Below are 22,771 nucleotides of genomic sequence, written 5' to 3'. Positions count from 1 at the left end.
CAATATTAGCTCATCAATTGTAACAAATGTACCGCACCAATGCAAGATGTTAATAACATGGGAAACTATGAGCAGGGAGGGGAGTAAATGAGAACTCTCTCCTTTTTTTTTTTTTTTTTTTTTGAGACCAAGTCTCACTCTGTTGCCCAGGCTGGAGTGCAGTGGTGTGATCTCGGCTCACTGCAACCTCTGCCTCCCGGGTTCAAGGGATTCTCGTGCCTCAGCCTCCTGAGTATCTGGGACTACAGGTGTGCACCACCACTCCAGGCTAATTTTTTTTGTATTTTTAGTAGAGACAGGGTTTCACCATGTTGGCCAAACTGGTTTTGAACTCTTGACCTTAGGTGATCTGCCCGCCTCAGCCTCCCAAAGTGCTGGGATTACAGGCATGAGCCACAGTGCCCAGCCGAGGACTCCTATCTATTTGATTTTCTCTAAACCTAAACCCGCTCTAAGAAACAAAGCCTATTAATTTATTTTAAATTATAGAACAATAGGTATAGTATGGTTCCATGTGTATAAAAAATTACATATTTGTGTCTATTTATAGGTTTGGAAACATGGCAAATACTCTAGAAAAATGAGCACCCAATAAACTATTAACAGTCATTTTTCTAGCAAACAGGATGAGTGGCAAAGAAAATGAAAGACTATTACTTTTGTATGAAATAGTTCAGATACAAAAATGTACACAAAATAATATAATGAGCACTTCTGTACTGGGTACCTCTTCTAACCCCACCAACCAGCTTCTGAATAAAAACGTGGGTGAAGGGATTCACTCTTGCCACTCTATGTACTTGTTTTTTGAGATGGATTCTAGCCCTGTTGCCCAGGCTGGAGTCCAGTGGTGCAATCTAGGCTCACTGTAGTGGTGCAATCTCGGCTCACTGCAACCTCTGCCTCCTGAGTTCAAGCAATTCTCATGCTTTAGCCTCCGGAGTAGCTGGGACTACAGGCATGTGCCACCATGCCTGGCTAATTTTTCTATTTTTAGTAGAGATGGGGTTTCACCATGTTGCCCAGGCTGGTCTGGAACTCCTGACCTCAAGTGATCCACCTGCCTCGGCCTCCCAGAGTGCTGGGATTACGGGGGTGAGTAACTGCACCCGGCCTGTAATTGTATATTTTTCAATATTCCTTTTCTTTTTTTCTTTTTTTTTTTTTTTTGAGACAGAGTTTCAGTCTTGTTGCCCAGGCTGGAGTGCAATGATGCGATCTCTGCTCACTGCAACCTCTACCTCCCGGGTTCAAGCGATTCAACTGCCTCAGCCTCCCGAGTAGCTGGGATTAAAGGCGTGCACCACCATGCCTGACTAATTTTGTATTTTTTTAGTAGAGAAGGGGTTTCACCATGTTGGTCAGGCTGGTCTCGAACTCCTGACCTCAGGTGATCCACCCGCCTTGGCCTCCCAAAGTGCTAGGATTACAGGCGTGAACCACCATGCTAGGCCTAATGTTTCTTTTTTACATAAACATTTACTAATATTGTGATTTTTTTTAATAAAGAGAAAAGGTTGAAATGCGATAAATACAAGATGCTGCATGAGAACAAAGGTGGAAGTGATGAATGGAGGAACCGGGGGAGTCCGAAGGCTGGTAGACAAGTGCCATTAAAGCAGGCACAGAATTAGAGGAAGAGAGAAAGAGGAATTTTAGTAGATGCAAAAACAAAGAGTTGGGAAGGGAACAGGAAGTGGTTCTGAAAGTCAGTGGCAGGGAGGAAAGAAAATGTTCCAAGCCTTACAATGGAACCTGGAGTATCTGGTTGCAGTTTGACTGTGAAAGGCATTCAATATTGTGGTAAGGAGGTTGGTCTTTGTGTTGTCAGCACAGAACATCTAGAAGCAGCACCTAAGATGTCTCGAGATCTGCTCAGATGTATTTGATGGGGAGTAGCAGCTGGGAGCAATGGCTGGAATGGCAACACCAGGCACACTGCCAGGGAGTGGACTCCTGTGTCCCCAGATTCAATGATGTTCAGAAAACATGTATTTTATTTTAGTCTTTAAATTTTTTGTTGATTTGACTTGGAAAAGTAAACCTAAATATTTTCTCCCGAAATGTTGAAATAACACAGAAGTATGTGTAAAAACCTGTAACTGCTTCACTTTACCCCTCCCTGCCTCAGGCTTCCCGAAAGTTAGACTCCATTAACTCTGATTATTTTTAGATGCCAAGGTACAGAGAAGACTATGGTCTTCCCAGCATTCTCATAAAAGGGCATGAGCTATCTTCAGGAGGCCCCAGTTAAAAGAGTATATGTTATCTGGACATGACACTAAAATTCCCAAAACCCCAAAGATAACAATCCCTTTCTTTAGAACTGCTTGGATATGTTTTGTATTTCCTCAGTAATGGCGTGCCATTGATTTTGAGAGTTCCGAGGTATATTACCTCTTGGCCTTTATTAAGCTAATTGACTTTTCCAGGAGGCAGTCTGTTTTTCCCTCTTATGACAAAGAGTCAGTCTTTGTGAGTCTAAACATCAGAAATAGAGAAGCATCTTGATTTGGGGAGTTATCCCAGGTAGGGTTCCCTGGGAAGCAGCCTCTGAGATGGAGTTAGTGTGCAGGAAGTGTATGGGGGAGTGCATTTGCCATCCACACCTGTGGAAGGAAAGAAAATGAAGCAAAATTGGGCACAGGAAGAAGTGGAGCTACCACACAGACATGATGAAGGCCACAGCCAACCCCACGGGAGTTCTAAAGATGGGGGACACTTCAGAATTGTCCTACACCGAGGCAAGAGGTCAGGGCCTCTAAAATTTACACACATCAGTCACTGGATTTGGGCTGCCCTGAGACAAAATTGTGACAATTGACGAGGCACCTCTCTTCAGCTGAGATAATCTCCCAAAAAGGCTGTCAGCTGAGGAAATAAGACCTTCAGTCCTGAAGAATGGTCTGACCTATGCATCACAAAAGTAATTTATCTAGGCCAGGCACCATGGCTCACGCCTGTAATCCCAGCGCTTTGGGAAGCCAAGGCAGGTGGATCACCTGAGGTCAGGAGTTCGAGAGCAGCCTGGCCAACATGGTGAAACCCTGTCTCTACTAAAAATACAAAAATTAGCCGGGCATCGTGGTACACGCCTGTAATCCCAGCTACTTGGGAGGCTGAGGCAGGAGAATCGCTTGAACCTGGGAGTTGGAGGTTGAAGTGAGCCGAGATCAAACCACTGCACTCCAGCCTGAGCAACAGAATGAGACTCCGTCTCAAAAAAAAAAATTAGTAATGTAACTAAACCCTTTGCTGTTTTACAGGGAGACCCACAGAGGCCTGGGCTTCCAAGACCTCCTATCTTTTTCATCCTGAGCTAATGCAATAGCAAAGTGCCTTGCAGAACAATCACCCCCAAAAGTTAATTAATTAACTTGACAACCACTTACTGTACTGAATTTTACCATATGGCAGATATTGTTTTGAATGCTAAAGCATCCCAACAGTGAACACAGTAGAGCTTACATTCTACTGGTGGAGGCACACAGATCCTAAACAGAAGAGCTGGTTAGAAGACACAGTATGTTAGACAGTGACTGTTATGGTGCGTATGTTTTTGCTGCCCCCCGTCCCAACAAATTCATATGTTGAAATCCAACCCCCAAGGTGATGGTATTAAGAGGTAGGGTCTTTGGGGAGGTGATTAGGACATAATGGCAGAGCTCTCATGAATGACATTTCTGTCCATATAAAGGAACACCAGGGAGCTTCCTTGCCTCTTCCACCATCTGAGGATACAGTAAGAAGACAGCTGCTGTCTAAGAACCTGAAGCAGGCCCTCCACAGATTTCTAATCTGCGGGAGCCTTGATGTTGGATTTTCCAGCCTCTGGAACTGTAACAAGTAAATTTCTGTTGTTGCTAAGCCACTCAGTCTGTAGTATTTTGTTATAGCAACCCAAGGATTACTATGAAACAGGGAAGGAAGCTAGGAAGTGCTAGGTGTGGTTAGGGGAGGGGTGAGGATTTCCAGATATGTGGAGCACCAAGTACAAAGGCCCTCAGGTGAGGGTGAGCCTGAGGTGTTTATGGAACAGCTAGGGGTCCAATGTGGCTGAAGTAAAACAAAAGAGGGAGAAAATATGCCCTGCGTGGTGGCTCACGCCTGTAATCCCAGCACTTTGGGAGGCCAAGGCAGGTGGATCATCTGAGGCCAGGAGTTCGAGACCAGTCTGGTCAACATGGTGAAACCCCGTGTCTACTAAAAATACAAAAATTAGCTGGGCATGGTGGCGCATGCCTGTAATCCCAGCTACTCGGGAAGCTGAGGCAGGAGAATTGCTTGAACTCAGGAGGTGGAGGTTGCAGTGAGCTGAGATCATGCCTCACTGTCTCAAGAAAATAAATAAATAAATAAATAAAATAAATATGGACAAGGAAAGTTGTGTTTCGCATTTCTTTCTATCTTTTATTTAAAAAAAAAAAAAAAGCTGGAAAAATCTTTGACTATGAGCAGCCCTACTTCTAATGTCTTTAGCTTTCACACTTTTCCCAAAATTATGTTCCTAAAACTAGCTCTGGTGGCAAAGTGCGTGGCATTCTAGGGTTCAAAATCCGTGTAACGTTGACCAAGTTTATTAACCATTCTAAGCTTTAGGGAATAATAACAGTACCCATGTCATAGGATTATTGATAGAATAAAAGGAAGTAATTTATGAAAAATGCTTAGTACAAAGATGAGCAAATAGTATTAATAAGTATTTAATAAACATTAGTTTTCATTAGTAATGCTACTATTATCATCCTCATACTTATTGTCATCACCATTCTTATTATTATTTTATTCATCCTACCTCAAAAAGTCCTCATGGCTCACTAATGCCCACAGAATGTTGTCTGAACTCTACAGCAGGCATTTAAGCCAATCATCTTTTAATGCATCTGTGTGTGTGTGTGTGTGTGTGTGTGTGTGTGTGTGTGACAGAGTCTTGCTCTGTTGCCCAGGCTGGAGTGCAATGGTGCGATCTTGGCTCACTACAACCTCCGCCTCCTGGGTTCAAGCTGTTCTCCTGCCTCAGCCTCCTGAGTAGCTGGGATTACAGGCGCTCACCACTAAACCGGCTAATTTTTTTAGTAGAGACGAGGTTTCACCATGTTGGTCAGACTTGTCTTGAACTCCCAACCTCAGGTGATCCTCCCGCCTTGGCCTCTCAAAGTGCTGGGATTACAGGCATGAGCCACCGTGCCCAACCTTATTGCATCTCAATTCATTCCCTGTATCCCATTACCACCCGCCTGCCCCATACTACAGCCTCAGCAAGCCATTTACTGTTATCCCTCATGCTTTACCTAAGACCACTCCTATTTCTTGGCCTGGCTGTGGCTCATGCCTGTTATCCCAGCATTTTGGAAGGCCAAGGCAGGAAGCTCTCTTGAGGCCAGGAGTTCGAGACCAGTCTAGGCAACATAGCAAATTTTGTCTCTACAAAAAAATTTTAAAAATTAAAAAATCATCTGGGCATGGTGGCACCCGCTTGTAGTCCCAGCTACTCAAGAGGCTGAAGTGGGAGGATTGCTTAAGCTCAGGAGTGTGAGGCTGTGATGAGCCATGATCATGCCACTGTACTCCAGCCTGGATGACAAAGCGAGATGCTGTCTCAAAAATAAATAAAGCCATTCCTTCTTTTTGTATTGCCTTTCTCTCAAATTTCTGGCTGTCAAAATATTACCTGTCTTTAGGACTCAGCTCAAATTAGGGGCAGTACAGCATAGTCTTTTCTTTTTTTTTTTTTTTGAGACGGAGTGTCTCACTCTGTCATCAGGCTGGAGTGCAATTCTCACTGCAACCTCCGCCTCCTGGGTTCAACTGATTCTCGTACCTCAGCCTCCTGAATATGTGGGACTACAGGCACGCACCACAACATCCGGCTAATTTTCATATTTTTAGTAGAGACGGGGTTTCACCATGTTGGCCATGATGGTCTCGATCTCCTGACCTGGTGATCCATCTACCTCGGCCTCCCAAAGCGCTGGGATTACAGGCGTGAGCCTCCGTGCTCGGCCTTTTTTTTTTTTTTTTTTTTTTTTGAGACAGAGTCTTGCTCTGTCACCCAGGCTGGAGTGCAGTGGCCCAATCTCAGCTCACTGCAAGCTCCGCCTCCCAGGTTCACGCCATTCTCCTGCCTCAGCCTCCTGAATAGCTGGGACTACAGGCGCCTGCCACCACGCCCGGCTAATTTTTTGTGTTTTTGGTAGAGATGGTGTTTCACCATGTTAGCGAGGATGGTCTCGATCTCCTGACCTCGTGATCCGCCCGCCTCCCCTCGGCCTCCCAAAGTGCTGGGATTACAGGCAGGAGCCACCGTGCCCGGCCCTTTTTTTTTTTTTTTTTTTTTTTCTCTAATTAGCCCTAGTACTCTAGAAAACAGAGCCCAAGGCAGGGATTAAAGTGCTAATGCTTCCTTTGAGAAGTGCAAACCCACAGCAGCTGGGATGGGGAAAAGGGGAAGTGGGGCAAGAAAAGATGTGGAGCAATATAAAGTAATGTTTTACTCTGTTGTACAATATAAAGTAATATATTGCACAATATAAAGTAATATATAAAGTGCAATATAAAGTGCAATAATATAATGTATATATTATATATTAATATATATTAATGTTATATAATTATAATATTATAATACTATATTAAGGTAATATATAAAGTGCAATAATAATATAAAATTGCAATATAAAGTAATGTTTTACTCTGTTGTGCGGGTGCGTGCTCAGCACACAGAACTTCTCTCACATTGAGGTTGTCCGTGGAAGAGAGGAAGGTAGACGAAACCCTGTCTCCCGCTTCCAGTTGGCCAAAGTGTGTTTTTTGTTGTTGCGGTTTTGTTTTGTTTTATTTGAGACAGAGTCTCACCTTGTCACCCAGGCTGGAGTGTAATGGCGCGATCTCGGATCACTGCAACCTCTGCCTCCCAGAGTTCAAACAATTCTCCTGCCTCAGCCTCCGGAGTAGCTGGGATTACAGGCGCCCACCACTACGCCCAGCTAATTTTTGTATTTTTAGTAGAGCCACGTTGGCCAGTCTGGTCTGGAACTTCTGACCTCAGGTGATCCGCCCACCTTGGCCTCCCAAAGTGCTGGAATAACAGGCATGAGCCACTGCACACGGCCCTAATTGGCGAAAGTTTGCTCTGCAGGCAGAAACTACCTTGCATTCCTGCTTGCATCATTCTTTCCTTTTGCCTATCTGATCCTATGCCCTGCAGCACAGCATTTCATCCAAATCCGGAAGCAGTGGGAGAAGCCAGACATTCTGGAAGAGCGTCTGCTTGATCCAGCTGCAGAGCACTAGCCAAGGGGGAGGGCCTAGTTTGTCCTCAGCTGCGGTATGATTGAGGAGGTGGACCATGCCAGAGGATATGAGAAGTCACAAAGCATCTGTGTCCGTGCAGCATCTAAGAGAGTGGGTTCTAAAGAACATAGGAAAAGACCATTTCCTACCACTCACCAGCTGCGTGACCTGGGTAAAACACTTTATGCCAATGTTTTTTCTTTTTTCTTTTACCTTCTTATTTTTAAATAATTCTAAACTTACAGGAAGTAGCAAAAATAGTACAAAATTTCCACTATACCCATCACTCACTGCTATGGACTGAATGGTGTCTCCCCACAATTCATATGTTAAAGCCCCAACCCTCAGTGTGATGGTATTTAGCCTGGTGCCTTTAGGAGGTGATTTGGTTTAGATGAGGTCATGAGAGTTGGGTCTCATAATGGAATTAGTGCCCTTAGAAGAAGAGGCACCAGAGAACTTGCTACCCCCCTGCCATGTGAGAACACAGTAAGAAGACAGCCATCTGTAAGCCAGGAAGAGAGTTCTTATTAGAACCTGATCATGCTGTACCTTGATCTTGGACCTCCATCCTCCAGAACTATAAAAAAAATAGACTTCTGTTGTGTAAGCCACCTAGTCCGTGGTATTCTGTTATAGCAGCCCAACCTGCCATATGTCACCAATTGTTAACATTTTGCTGCATTTGTTTTATCATTCTTTCCTTCTCTCTCTCTCTCTCCATACACATGAATGCACACACATCTAATTATTACAGTTTTCTGAAGTATTTGAGAGGAAATTTATGACATCATGCCCCTTTATTCCTAAATACTTCAGAGTAAATTTCCTATTAACAAGGACATTCGGCTGGGTAAGGTGGCTCACGCCTGTAATGCCAGCACTTTGGGAGGCCGAGGCAGGCAGATCACCTGAGGTCAGGAGTTCAAGACCAGCCTGACCAACATGGAGAAACCCCGTCTCTACTAAAAATACAAAATTAGCCGGACATGGTGGCACATGCCTGTAATCCCAGCTACTCGGGAGGCTGAGGCAGGAGAATGGCTTGAACCCGGGAGGCAGAGGTTGCTGGGCAACAGGAGTGAAACTCCACCTCCAAAAAAAAAAAAAAAAACCAAGGACATTCCTGGCCAAGTGCAATGGCTCATGCCTGTAATCCCAGCACTTTGGGAGGCTGAGGCAGGTGGATCACAAGGTCAGGAGTTCAAGACCAGCCTGGCCAAGATGGTGAAACCCAGTCTCTACTAAAATTACAAAAATTAGCTGGGCGTGGTGGCGAGCGCCTGTAATCCCAGCTACTTGGGAGGATGAGGCAGAGAATTGCTTGAACCTGGGAGGCAGAGGTTGCAGTAAGCCAAGATCACACCACTGCACTCCAGCCTGGGCAACAAAGCGAGACTCCTTCTCAAAAAAAAAAAAAACAAGGACATTCCTTATATAACCAGAAAATAATGATCAAAATCAAGAGATTTAGCATTCATACAATAATACGATTATCTATCTAATCTACAGTCCATATTGACATCTCACCAATTGACCCAGAAACGTCCTTTATAGCAAATTCTCCCCATGTTTGTTCTTATTTGGTTAATGGGAACAATGACAGTGCCCTCTCATAAGATTGTTATGAGAATGACATGGTGTGACATATATAAAACACTCCAATACAGTGCCTGGCTTATAGGAAAAGTTCGACAACTGCTAGCTACTTCTATCATGTTTATAATTTCTTCAGTGAAAACTTTTCCAGTCCCCTTTCCGTCAATTCAGAATCAGCCTCTTCCAACTATATTTTCTTATCAGTGTATTTCTACATTCTTGATTGTACTTTCACGTATAGCCTTTTTTTTTTACAAGCTTTTAAAGACCCATTCCTAATTCCTCTTTGCTTCTTCCAATGGCACCAAGCATAGCACCTTGTACATAATAAGCCTCCATCAATTTTGGCAGAATTTAATTTCTTTGGATGAAGTGGAGGGTTGATTAAGGTGACTAGAGGAAATGTATCTCACAGTATTGCAATAGTAGATACAATTCTGCTTTTAAAGAGTTTATGTTTCATGTCAGGGAGAAATACACAAGTGAAAAGTTACAGAAAATAAGAAGATAACATTATATATCTTAAAACAGCCTCTGAGAAAGGTTTGAAAAGTAGGAGGAATAAAGAAAGAGGAGTTCTGGGAGCTCAGAGAAGCAAAAGGATCACATGGGAAGGAAAATAAAAAACTTCCAGAGACTGCTCAGCATGGCCTCCTCAGCAGAAGGGACTTCACGGAGGCCTGATAAACTAAAGTACTAAAAGACAAAGTTCTCAGTTCTACTTTCCCAAGGCTGTGGATCTGGGAAAACAGTTGAATTACATCTTGGCCTTCCTTGCTGAGATTGGGTTTTGGCCAAAGGACATGAGCAAAAGTGATGTGAGCCATTTCCAGGCCTGGCCCATAAAAAGCTCCCATGTGTGATCTCCCACTATTTCCCATTCTCTAGTAGCTTTGGAGGCCACATGTAGAAGATATTAATGCACAGGTAGAAAGAACATGAGTCTCTGCGTGACTACATGGAGCAGAATCCCCAGCCCCATCAACCCATATTGCTGTGACAAGAATGAGGAATCAACTTTACTGCGTTCCACCACTGAAACATGGATGTCATTAGTTTCAGCAGCTACCATTACATGCCCTGTCCAGTGCACAGTTAGAACTGAAGGCCAGATTCAGAAAACCTGTGTTTATATCCTAGCTGTGCCACTTAGCTACAGGTGAGCCATGGCAAGTCACTTCGGCTCGGAACTGCTGTGAGGATTATATGGAAGAAGACTTTGTAAACTGTGAAAGTGCTATAAATGTTAGATACTATTAGTATTAGTCCATTCTTCCTAAGTTGGTGAAAATAACAGTTTCCAAGAATAGAATACAGGGATTAGTCATTCTTTCCAAACTAATAAAAAGAACACAGTCTGGGATCTCATGTTGCTGATATTAACTCGAGTTGTTGGAAAAGAAATTTGGGTGGGTCTATGGAAGGCCAATGATTCACTTCAGAATTCATGGAGTTACGTTACTGTTTTGTTCCTATGGAGAAACCTCTTTTTTTTTTCTTTTTTTATTTAGAGACAGGGTCTCACTCCATTACACGACTGGAATACAGTGGCAGGATCACAGCTAACTGTAATCTTGAACTCCTGGGCTCAAGCAATCCTCCTTCCTCAGCCTCCCAAGTAACTAGCACTATAGGAGTGTGCCATCATGCCCTGCTAATTTTTAAAATTTTTTATAGAGATGGGGGTCTTGCTATGTTGGCCAGGCTGGTCTCGAACTCCTTGCCTCAAGCAATTCTCCCTCCTTGGCTCCCCAAAGTTCTGAGATAACAGGCGTAAGCTACCGTGCCTGGCTAGGAAACCTTTTGTTTCTGAATATTTCATTAATTGTAGGTGTGAGGGTCAAGGGAAAGCTTTTTCTTTGGCCTTCTGAGAGTTATCTGAAAAGTCAAATCACGAAAGGCAAATTAACTAGAGAAAAGGCATACAAATGTACTTAACACATGTACAATGTATGCATGAGAAGTATCTCAGAGTAATTGCCCATCTCCAGTGTGGTTAGAAGCTTGTATACCACCTCCGCAAAACAGGCTATGGGAGGAGAAGAGAAATTCTGTTGAGGGGATTACAAGGGAGAATTAATAGATCTGGGAACAGGCATTAATTTGTTCTGCATCTATTTCTCTTTGAAGGTAAAAGGATCTGTTCAGATGTGGTAACATTCTTGGTCTTACTGGAAGGGGAAGAAAAACAATTGTTCCTTTTGGTGGGTTTGGATCTTAAGCAGATAAAGATTCTGGGAGAGGTGGTGGGGGGTGGGAGGGAGGGAGGGAGATCAGAGAGACCTTGAGACTTTTTTAATTTAGCATGTCAAAATGCCATATGTTGGTATTTTGGTTTTTGAGCCCCAACATAGGTAACTCCAACATTGGAATATCTTAAGAATTCAACTTTTAGGCCAGGTGTGGTGGCTGATGCCTGTAATCCTGGCACTTTGTGAGGCCAAGGTGGGAGGATCGCTTGAGCCCAGGAGTTTGAGACCAGCCTGGGCAACATGGCGAAACCCCACGTCTACAAAAAAAATACAAAAGTTAGCTGAGCATGATGGCATGCCCCTGTAGTCCCAGCTACTTGAGTGGCTAAGGCAGGAGAATCGCTTGAGGTGGAGGTTGCAGTGAGCCATGCTATTGTACTCCAGCCTGGGTGGCAGGAGTGAAACCCTGTCTCAAAACAATAATAATAATAATAATAATTCAACTTTCGCGGGGATTGGGCAGCAAGAAGAAAAGAGAGAAGAGTTGTTTCAAGATGAATTTTACCATTTTCCTTAAAATCAAATGTATTCAAAGTATTATTATTATTATTATTTTTTTGAGACAAAGTCTCACTCTGTCACCCAGGCAGGAGTGCAATGGCGTGGTCTCAACTCACTGCAACCTCCACCTCCTGGGTTCAAGCAATTCTCCTGCCTTAGCCTCCTGAGTAGCTGGGACTACAGGTGCATGGCACCACACCCTGCTAATTTTTATATTTTTAGTAGAGATGAGGTTTTACTATGTTGGCCAGGCTGGTCTTGAGCTCCTGACCTTGTGATCTGCCTGCCTCATCCTCCCAAAGTGCTGGAATTACAGGCATGAGCCACCATGCCCGGCCTCAAAGTATTCTTTTTGAGCACACATTGGTTGGTAGTTTTGTATTTATCACAGGTGTTAACAATTCTTTGCTTTATCAAGCAGGCCGAGATAAGCCAGAAATCATATTCCAACATAAATTATATTTTAAAGTAAATCATGGGCAGGACCAAAGGAGACTTCGGAGACTGTTACTCACTTTATAAATTTCAACCTAGGCTTGAATATTGGAACAGTCCTGAGAATGGGTAAACAGGCTTCTTGGTGTGAGATTTGGCAAGTGGGAAAGTATCCCAGCTTCAGTGAGAAACTTCCAAGGCACCAGTGGTGCCTTCACCACCGATGACAGTTCCTGCTGCAGTCAGATGAAAGTAATGAGGCAGAGTTTGGTCATTAAAACCATCTGGGTCCTTTGTTCCTGGCCCTGGACCCATCCCTCTCCCAAGCAGATGATTTCTTAAGTTCCCTGTTTCTCCATTTCTTTTCTTCCGTCTCCACTTCCCCTTTGAAGTTTCTAGTCTCTCTTCTCCCTAACCTTCATAAGCTTTTTTGGTTTAATTTTACACTTTTGGAGTCTGATTTAGGGAAATGAATGTGCATCCTCTTTTCTGGACCCTTTCTCCCTGGGGCTATATCCTCCTCCTTCCCAACCCTTTTGTTTATCAGATCTGTTCACACTTCTCACTGGATTTTGAGCATTAGAATGAGAATCAGAAGACTTAAGCTGTTGCCCACCATAACATAGATAAAGTAAATTTATTCTGCTGGGACTCAGGATCTCATCTGTAAAAATAAAACAAGGTGGATTAGAGAGTCTCTATCTCTTTAGATTCTGTGTAAGATAAGATCCCCGATCAGTGGCTGACAGAGGAGGTCTTTGGAATTATCTTGCTAACTTCTAAAGTCCTACAGTTAAGCAGATTCTCCTTGCATTTGCTGGTTGAGACATCTGAGGGAATTTCCAGAAGTGTGCTGAAGTCATGAAATATGAATAAATCAGGAGTCAGTGAGGATGAGACTGGAGAAGTGGCATCAAACCTTGTTAGAAGGATTTTGCTTTATGTTAGGTTTGGAACTTTATCCTTTGGGTGATGTGGAGTCTTGGAAGGATTGTAATTAGGATCAGACTTGTGTTTCAGGAAGCTCATTCTGATGGAAACAGGAAGAATGGTGAAAGCAAAAGGCAGTGCCACCAGATAAAACCACTGCCAGTTGTTCAGGCAAGATACAGGGAGGATCTGAAGTTGGAAAGTGGAACGTAGTTGGTAAAAATGGGAAGAAGCCAATTTAATACATCTGGGGATTTGTTGACTGATTGGCTAAGAGAGTTCAAGAGGAATAGAGGTCTAGGATGACTTTCTCTCATTTGAATGGATGGATTTGTCATTACTGTGGCACCTAAGGCTTTGCTGCTTATACCACTGCATTTTTTACTAAAAATGAAAAAATCAGGCCAGGCCTGGTGGCTCATATCTGTAATCCCAACACTTTGGGAGGCTGAGGCAGGAGAATTGCTTGAGCTCAGTGTCAGGCTTCTGAGCCCAAGCTAAGCCATCATATCCCCTGTGACCTGCACCTACACATCCAGATGGCCTGAAGCAACTGAAGATCCACAAAAGAAGTGAAAATAGCCTTAACTGATGACATTCCACCATTTTGATTTGTTTCTGCCCCACCCTAACTGATCAATGTACTTTGTAATCTCCCCCACCCTTAAGAAGGTTCTTTGTAATTCTCCCCATCCTTGAGAATGTACTTTGTGAGTTCTACCCCCTGCCTGCAAAACATTGCTCCTAACTCCACCACCTATCCCAAACCCTATAAGAACTAACGATAATCCACCACTCTTTGCTGACTCCTTTTTCAGACACAGCCCGCCTGCACCCAGGTGAAATAAACAGCCTTGCTGCTCACACAAAGCCTGTTTGGTGGTCTCTTCACAAGGACATGTGAGACATTTGGTGCCGAAGACCCGGGTCAGCGGGACTCCTTTGGGAGAGCAGTCCCTTGTCCTCACCCTCACTCTGTGAAGAGATCCACCTACGACCTTCGGTCCTCAGACCAACCAGCCCAAGGAACATCTCACCGATTGTAAATTGGGTAAGCGGCCTATTTTTACTCTCTTGTCCAACCCCTCTCACTATCCCTCAACCTCTTTCTCCTTTCAATCTTGGCGCCACCCTTCAATCTCTCCCTTCTGTTAATTTCAGTTCCTTTCATTTTCTGGTAGAGACAAAGGAGACACATTTTATCCATGGACCCAAAACTCCGGTGCTGGTCACGGACTTGGGAAGGCAGCCTTTCCTTGGTGTTTAATCATTGTGTGGATGCCTGCCTGATTATTCACCCACATTCCATTGGTGTCTGATCTCCGCAGGGATGTCTGCCTTGGTCATTCACCCACATTCCCTTGGTGGCAAGTCAATTGCGGGGATGCCTGCTTTGGCTGCTTATCCACATTGCAGCCCAGGGCTGCTCACTCCACCCCTTCTCTCTGTGTCTCTACCCTTTCTCCACTTTCCTGGGGGGAAATCACCCCTCATCCCTTCTCTCCGTGTCTCTGCTGCTTTTCCACTTTCCTGGGGTGCAAGCACCTCCCACCCCTTTTCCACTTTCCTGGGGAGCAAGCACCCCCCACCCCTTCTCTCCATGTCTCTACCCTTCTCTTTAAACTTGCCTCCTTCACTATGGGCAAGCTTCCACCCTCCACTCCTCCTTCTTCTCCCTTAGCCTGTGTTCTCAAGAACTTAAAACCTCTTCAACTCTCACCTGACCTAAAATCTAAGTGTCTTATTTTCTTCTGCAACACCACTTGACCCCAATACAAACTCGACAGTGGTTCCAAATGGCCAGAAAATGGCATTTTTGATTTCTCCATCCTACAAGATCTAAATAATTCTTGTCATAAAATGGGCAAACGGTGTGAGGTACCTGACGTCCAGGCATTCTTTTACACATCGGTCCCTCCCTAGTCTCTGTTCCCAATGCAACTCATCCCAAATCTTCCTTCTTTCCCTCCTGCCTGTCCCTTCAGTCCCAACCCCAAGTGTCTCTGAGTCTTCTGAATCTTCCTTTTCTACGGACCCATCTGACCTCTCCCCTCCTCCCCAGGCTGCTCCTTGCCAGGCCGAGCTAGGTCCCCAATTTTTCCTCAGCCTCCAATCCCCCACCCTATAATCCTTTTATCACCTCCCCTCCTCACACCTGGTCCGGCTTACAGTTTCGTTCGGCGACTAGCCCTCCCCTACCTGCAATTTCCTCTTAAAAAGGTGGCTGGAGCTAAAGGCATAGTCAAGGTTAATGCTCCTTTTTCTTTATCCAACCTCTCCCAAATCAGTTAGCATTTAGGCTCTTTTTCATCAAATATAAAAACCCAGCCCAGTTCATGTCCCGTTTGGCAGCAACCCTGAGATGCTTTATAGCCCTAGACCCTGAAAGGTCAGAAGGCCATCTTATTCTCAATATGCATTTTATTTTACCACCCAATCTGCTCCCAACATTAAATAAACCTCCAAAAATTAAATTCCAGCCCTCAAACCCCACAACAGGACTTAATTAACCTCGCCTTCAAGGTGTACAATAATAGAGTAGAGGCAGCCAAGTAGCAATGTATTTCTGAGTTGCAATTCTTTGCCTCCACTGTGAAACAAACCCCAGCCATATTTCCAGCACACAAGAACTCCAAACGCCTGAACCGCAGCTGCCAGGGGTTCCTCCAGAACCTCCTCCCCCAGGAGCTTGCTACAAGTGCCAGAGATCTGGCCACTGTGCCAAGGAATACCCACAGCCAGGATTCCTCCTAAGCCATGTCCCATCTGTGCAGGACCCCACTGGAAATCAGATTGTCCAACTCGCCCAGCAGCCACTCCCAGAGCCCCTGGAACTCTGGCCCAAGGCTCTCTGACTGACTCTTTCCTAGATCTTCTCAGCTTAGCAGCTGAAGACTGACGCTGCCCGATAGCCTCGGAAGCCTCCTGGACCATCACAGATGCTTTGGGTAACTCTTACAGTGGAGGGTAAGTCCGTACTCTTCTTAATCAATACGGAGGCTACCTACTCCACATTACCTTCTTTTCAAGGGCCTGTTTCGTTTGCCTCCATAACTGTTGTGGGTATTGATGGCCAGGCTTCTAAACCTCTTAAAACTCCCCAACTCTGGTGCCAACTTAGACAATACTCTTTTAAGCACTCCTTTTTAGTTTTGCCCACCTGCCCAGTTCCCTTATTAGGCTGAAACATTTTAATTAAATTATCTGCTTCCCTGACTATTCCTAGGCTACAGCCACACCTCAGTGCCGCCCTTTTCCCCAGTTCAAACCCTCCTTCACATCCTCTCCTTGTATCTCCCCACCTTAAACCACAAATATAGGACACCTCTACTCCCTTCTTGGCAACCAATCGTGCACCACTTACCATCCCATTAAAACCTAATCGCCCTTACCCCACTTAGTCATCTATGGTACCTCAACTGCCGTCCACCTGCAGGATCCTCCCCACCGGGTTCACTGTTCCAGGATAAAGCTGTGTCCCTCCGACAGCCAGCCTAATCTCTCCTCTTCCTCCTGGAAATCGCAAGTACTCTCTCCTACTTCCCTTAAACCCACTCACATTTCTGAAGAACAGTAATAACCCTTATGCGCCTAATACGTCCCTTCATTCTATTAGGTCTGTTCGTCCTTACCCTACTTTTTGCAACAGGGCTTTACGAAGTCACCCCCACTACTTAGACTGAGCCCCCCAAAATAGTCATCCCTACTATCTTCCATCTAGTCACACTCCTACAACATTCTCAACTACTCATAAATGCCCTACTCTTGTTTACACCGCCGGTTTACACTGTTTCTCCAAGCCATCACAGCTGATATCTCCTGGTGCTATCCCCAAACCGCCACTCTTAACTCCCTCTTAAAGTAAATAAATAATCTTTGCTGGCAGGGCTATGCTGAACCTCCTTGGGCACTCTCTAATTGGATGTCCTGGGTCTTCCCAATTCTTAGTCCTTTAATACCTGTTTTTCTCCTTCTCTTCGGACCTTGTGTCATCAGTTTAGTTTTTCAATTCATACAAAACCGCATCCAGGCCATCACCAATAATTCTATATGACAAATGCTCCTTCTAACAACCTCACAATATCACCCCTTACCCCAAAATCTTTCTTCAGTTGAATCTCTCCTACTGTAGGTTCCCATGCCACACCTAATCCCGCTTGAAGCAGCCCTGAGAAACATCGCCCATTATCTCTCCATACCACCCCCAAAATTTTTGCCGCCCCAACACTTTACCACTATTTCATTTTATTTTTCTTGTTAATATAAGAAGACAGGAATGTCAGGCATCTGAGCCCAAGCTAAGCCATCATATCCCTTGTGACCTGCACATATACATCCAGACGGCCTGAAGCAACTGAAGATCCACAAAAGAAGTGAAAATAGCCTTAACTGATGACATTCCACCATTGTGATTTGTTTCTGCCCCACCCTAACTAATCAATGTACTTCGTAATCTCCCCCACCCTTAAGAAGGTTCTTTGTAATTCTCCCCACCCTTGAGCATGTACTTTGTGAGATCCACCCTCTGCCAGCAAAACATTGCTCTTAACTCCACCGCCTATCCCAAAACCTATAAGAACTAATGATAATCCACCACACTTTGCTGACTTCTTTTTCAGACTCAGCCCACCTGCACCCAGGTGAAATAAACAGCCTTGTTGCTCACACAAAGTCTGTTCGGGGGTCTCTTCACACAGACACGTGAGACACTCAGGAGTTTGAAACCAGCCTGCTCAACATAGCGAAAGCTCATCTCTACAAAAAATCAGCCGTGCATGGTGGCACCACCCGTAGTCTCAGCTACTCAGGAGGCTGAGGTGGGAAGCTCCCTTGGGCCCAGAAGGTTGAGGCTGCAGTGAGCCATGATTGCACCACTGCATTCCAGTTGGGTCACAGAACGAGACCCTATCTCAAAAAAAAAAAAAAAAAAGAAACTCCCAACTTTTCTTCTGAAACTGCTTAACAATTTACTTCAAGGGAGCTGGAGTTGGCTTTCCTATAATTTTGCCACAGTGGCCCTAACTGACTGGTGTAGGAAGACACCTCACCTATGACAAGCATATATCCCATCCCACTGGCATACATAGGGATGGATACAGGGGAGAACAACTGATTCAATCCAAGCCAATCAGACTTCTCCAAAATTTCTAACTTGGAACCAAAGTGAACTTTAGTCAGTCCCTTATAAAGAATGGAAGTTGCAATAGATAGATATAAAAGGATGCAGCTGGCAGCCATATTTTTCATCATATAGAAGAAGTCAGTCTGAAGCAAAAGAAAATGAAGCCAAAAGGCAAGGAGAAACAGGAAGAGGATTCCTGCTAATATTGAAGACCCTGGCTGCAGTTATTCCCGGGGCCCATCTGCATCCCTGCCCCTCCTACAATTTGGTTATATAAATTTTCCTTGGATTTCATGAGGCAATACATTTCCTTTGTTGTCTAAACTACTTAAAATTGAGTTCGGGCACTTGCAGTTGAGAATCTTGACTATTTGATAGTCCGTTAATTGAGTTAGGGAGAAATGGACAGAGGCAATTCCGAGAGAGGATAATGAGTTCAGTTTTGAACGTGTTAATTTGAGTTGCTTTGGACATTCACATGAAGATTTCTAGGAATCCTTTTATTAGGAATCTGAAGCTCAATAAGATAATCACATTATTCAAGTTACTAAAAATTTACTGAAAAAGACAAGTTCAAATATGATGCCTTCAGGCACAGTGGCTCATGCCTGTAATTCCAGCACTTTGGGAGTCTGAGGCAGGAGGATCACTTGAGCCCAGAAGTTCAAGACCTGCCTGGGCAATATAGTGAGACCCCGTTTCTACAAAAAATAAAATAAAATATTAGCTGCACGTGATGGTGCACACCTGTAGTCCCAGCTACTTAGGAGGCTAAGGTGGGAGGATTGCTTGAAGCCTCAGGGTTGAGGCCGCAGTGAGCCGTGATCTCTCCGCTGCACTCCAGCTTGAGCAACAAAGCAATACCTTGTCTCAAACAAACACACAAAGAAATATGATGCCTTATGGAATTTCACCAGAGATATCCAATCACTATTGATTATTTCAGGATGTGATTGTTTAAGTAACCATAGCTGTCTTCAATTGAACTAGTATTCAGATTACCATCCTCATTTCACAATGATATTGTGAAGCATCTTTCTAAGAACCTTGATCAAAGCAAGGTAGAATGTTTCTACAGCATTCCCCTAATCTTCCTGTTCAGCAGAATAGCACAGATATGGATGAAAATGAGATTAGCATGACATGGCTTGTTCTTAGTGAACATAGCTCCTACTGCTAACTCTAAATGAGTGTTACTGTTTTCTAAGTCATCATAAATCAACCATCAATAATTTAACTATTTTGGCTGCATCTGCTATCCTTACCTAAATCTATAGAACTAGGAAGTACTAGGTGGGTCGCTGGTCCAAGGGCAGTGGTGTTTACAACTAATTGATCACAATCAGTTACAGATTTCTTTGTTCCTTTTCCATTCCCACTGCTTCACCTGACGAGCCTAAAAACAAATAAAGAAATAAATAAAGATGTAATAGGTGGGTGTACTGAATCTTGAATAACATCTTCACAAATTATAAAACATGCCTCTATTAGCCTCACCAAATCTATGCATGGAAGTTTTTTTACCTCCCAATAGAAAGATACCAGCATTTCATAAACTTAATGGTCCCTATGAGTTGTCCTTGTTGTTCTGTTCAGAATGCAAAGGTACTGCTTCAGAAATGCCAGGTTGACCCTCCATGAGAAAATTATCTTTTCTGAGCAGCACAATAGTCCTTTACAGGTAAAGAAACCTGGGATGGAAATATTGACTCTAGCAATTACAAGCAGTGTGATTTTAGCGGGGAGTTACTTACAGCCACAATTTTCCTCATCTGTAAAACAGGAACAACAATTAATTCTTAGTACATTTGTGAGAATGAAATTAGATAATATATGTACTGTCCTAAACCAGGGCATGGCACAGGAGTCCATTTTCTCTCTTTTTTTTTTTTTTTTTTTGAGACAAGGTCTCTCCGCTGACTGCAGCCTCAACCTTCCTGGCTCAGGTGATCCTCCCACCTTATCTCCCCATGTAACTGGGACTACAGGTGCATGCCACCACATCTGGCTAATTTTTGTATTTTTTGTAGAGACGGGGTTTCACTGTGTTGCCTAGACTGGTCTTGAACTCCTGGGCTCATGCGATCCACCCACCTTGGCCTTTCAAAGTACTGGGATTACAAGCATGAGCCACTGCGCCTGGCCCAGTTTTCAATAAGTCGTCACTATGGGCTAGATGTAGTGGCTTACGCCTGTAATTCCAGCTAAGCGAGAGGAGCACTTGAGGTCAGGAGTTAAAGACCAGTGTAGTTGAAAAAGTGGGACCCCATCTTTATTATTTATTTATTTAACGAAAGCACAGATTTATTGAAATGAAAGTACACTCCACAAAGTGGGAGTGGGTTCAAGCAAGTGGCCCAAGAGCCCCCACTTCTATTTTTAAAAGAAAAAAATAATAAAAAGAGAGAAACTATGGCCGTGTTTGCTTATTTGTTTTATTTGATGACATTGCTTCTTTCCCTTTTCCATTTGCCAATGTTTGTCACTAGTCTTGATTCCTTTGCATATCATTGATTTCGCTTTCTGGCTTCCTTTTTGAATTATTTCTCTCATCATGGCGGGGCACAGATCATCTTCATGAGAAAAAACTAAACATACTCCTTTATTAATAAAAACTATCTCATGGATAGTTTGTATAATTGGTGATCCTCTTAGGCAGCCAGTCAAATAAGGCCCATGGAAATTTCTGTCTATAACCCTGGCAAAGTGCCCATTTATGGGCTGGTTTTCCAGTAACTCCAAGTCAACCAAAATCACATTATAGGTAAATTAGGTACACTTTATTAATTTTTTTTTTGTGAGGTGGAGTTTTGCTCTTCTTGCCCAGGCTGGAGTGCAATGATGCAATCTCGGCTCACTGCAACCTCCGCTTCCCAGGTTCAAGTGATTCTCCTGCCTCAGCCTTCCAAGTAGCTGGGATTACAGGCACCCGCCACCATGCCCAGCTAATTTTTGGTATTTTTAGTAGAGGTGGGATTTCATTATGTTGGCCAGGCTGGTCTTGAACTTTTGACCTCAGGTGATCCACCTGCCTCAGCCTCCCAAAAAGCTGGGATTATAGGCATGAGCCACCACACCCAGCCTAGTTTTTTTTTTTTTTTTTTTGAGACAGAGTCTCTCTGTCACCGCAGGCTAGAGTGCAGTGGCACGATCTCGGCTCACTGCAGTTGAGACCACAGGCATGTGCCACTGTACCCAGCTAATTTTATTTTTTGTAGAGACTATGTTGCCCAGGCTGGTCTTGAACTCCTGCAGTGCCACTGCACTCCAGCCTGGGCGACAGAGGGAGACGCTCTCTCCAATTTTGCACCTATCTAAAGAGCAAAACAGTTTTTGAGTGACCTTCTAAATAGCTCTTGTATCTATTTACTTCTTTCTATACCCATTCCGAACCCACAACAATGGTGTCCTCACTTCCAGTCTATTTTCTCCTCTACTGCCAGAGTGAGCTTTCTAATTTGTAAATATGACTGTCACTTTGCTGCATGGACCATTCAATAAGGCTTCCATTGGATTTATACAAGGCCCCTCATGATCTGACCATGGCATACCTCTCTAGTCACATTTCTTGCCACTCACAGCTTTGTGGTCTATAGTTCAACTAGACTTTATTGGAGTCTTCGGTTTCTCAAATGTCCCGTGATATCCGTTGTCTTCCAAGCTTTCCCCTTGTGGTAGGTACACTCTCATTAGACTCTCCCTCTACTTCCTCAACCTTTTTGCCTTTGGCCTAATCTAAATTACTTTCTCTAGGCATCTTTTTCTGACCCAAGCCTGGGTTAATTGTCCCTCTAATGAATAAACTGTGAATCATGGCAAGTATTATGTTAGAGTAATTGCCTATTTACTCATTTCAATCAGCCTACTAAACTGTACGAATTATGGGGAAAAGATCATGACTATTTTGCTTATCACCATGTGGTCAATTCCACCCACAGTACTTGACATAGAATAAGGCCCTCAACAAATTACTGTTGAATCAGTAATTGAATTAATGAGTCATAATAATTAGTAGCAGAGAATCAGAACTGAGATATAAATCCATTAAAAATGTGAGATACACTTATGCTAAAATATTATTTGTTGTTTATCTGAAATTCAGATTTACTTGAGAGTACTTTATTTCATCTGGCAATCTTGCTGGTTAATTAAATACCTCCTTCTGCATGTCTGAGAAATAAACGTACTAATTTCATCAAACCCAAATCTTAGATTATTTACTGCCTTAGCATTTCAATATAGTGAATGATCATGTTACTGGAGATGAATAAATTACTTTTCTTTCTCTCTCTCTCTCTCTCTGTTTTAACAGTAGGGATTGTGTAGGTTCCTTACTTGAATTTCAGTGTTTCAATACTTGGCTTTATGTGATCTGATCTAATATGCATTCCTTTACATACACTATTGTTCTGAACATTGTAGTTGGTTAAGTTCCTAGGGACAGCTGTGACCCTTAAAATTGCTCAATCTTTGTCTTTTAAACATTCCATTCATAATCTAATTTGCTGACTCTTTTTAGAGTCTCCTGTTTTTAAATTTTGCTTTCATTATTGCACAATTCATAGTGACTGATGTTGAGTAATTAATGAGTAATCTGATTTCCTTTGAAAAATAGAATATCTTTTTTTAATTCAGTTGC

General features: G+C 43.5%; 2 annotated features.

The window, feature by feature from the left end:
• Window positions 17,338–17,838: an enhancer, noted in NCBI's record as "H3K27ac hESC enhancer chr3:27590943-27591443 (GRCh37/hg19 assembly coordinates)". NCBI's record gives its function as "activates a minimal SCP1, AML or CMV promoter by ChIP-STARR-seq in naive H9 embryonic stem cells {active_cell/tissue: H9 hESC(naive)}" and the evidence as "EXISTENCE:reporter gene assay evidence [ECO:0000049][PMID:30033119]".
• Window positions 17,839–18,339: an enhancer, noted in NCBI's record as "H3K27ac hESC enhancer chr3:27590442-27590942 (GRCh37/hg19 assembly coordinates)". NCBI's record gives its function as "activates a minimal SCP1, AML or CMV promoter by ChIP-STARR-seq in naive H9 embryonic stem cells {active_cell/tissue: H9 hESC(naive)}" and the evidence as "EXISTENCE:reporter gene assay evidence [ECO:0000049][PMID:30033119]".

This window comes from Homo sapiens, chromosome 3, assembly GCF_000001405.40.
Source record: "Homo sapiens chromosome 3, GRCh38.p14 Primary Assembly".
NCBI classification, from domain to species: Eukaryota; Metazoa; Chordata; class Mammalia; order Primates; family Hominidae; genus Homo; species Homo sapiens.
Note: the sequence above shows the minus strand (reverse complement) of the source record. Positions and strands in the feature narration are given on the sequence as shown.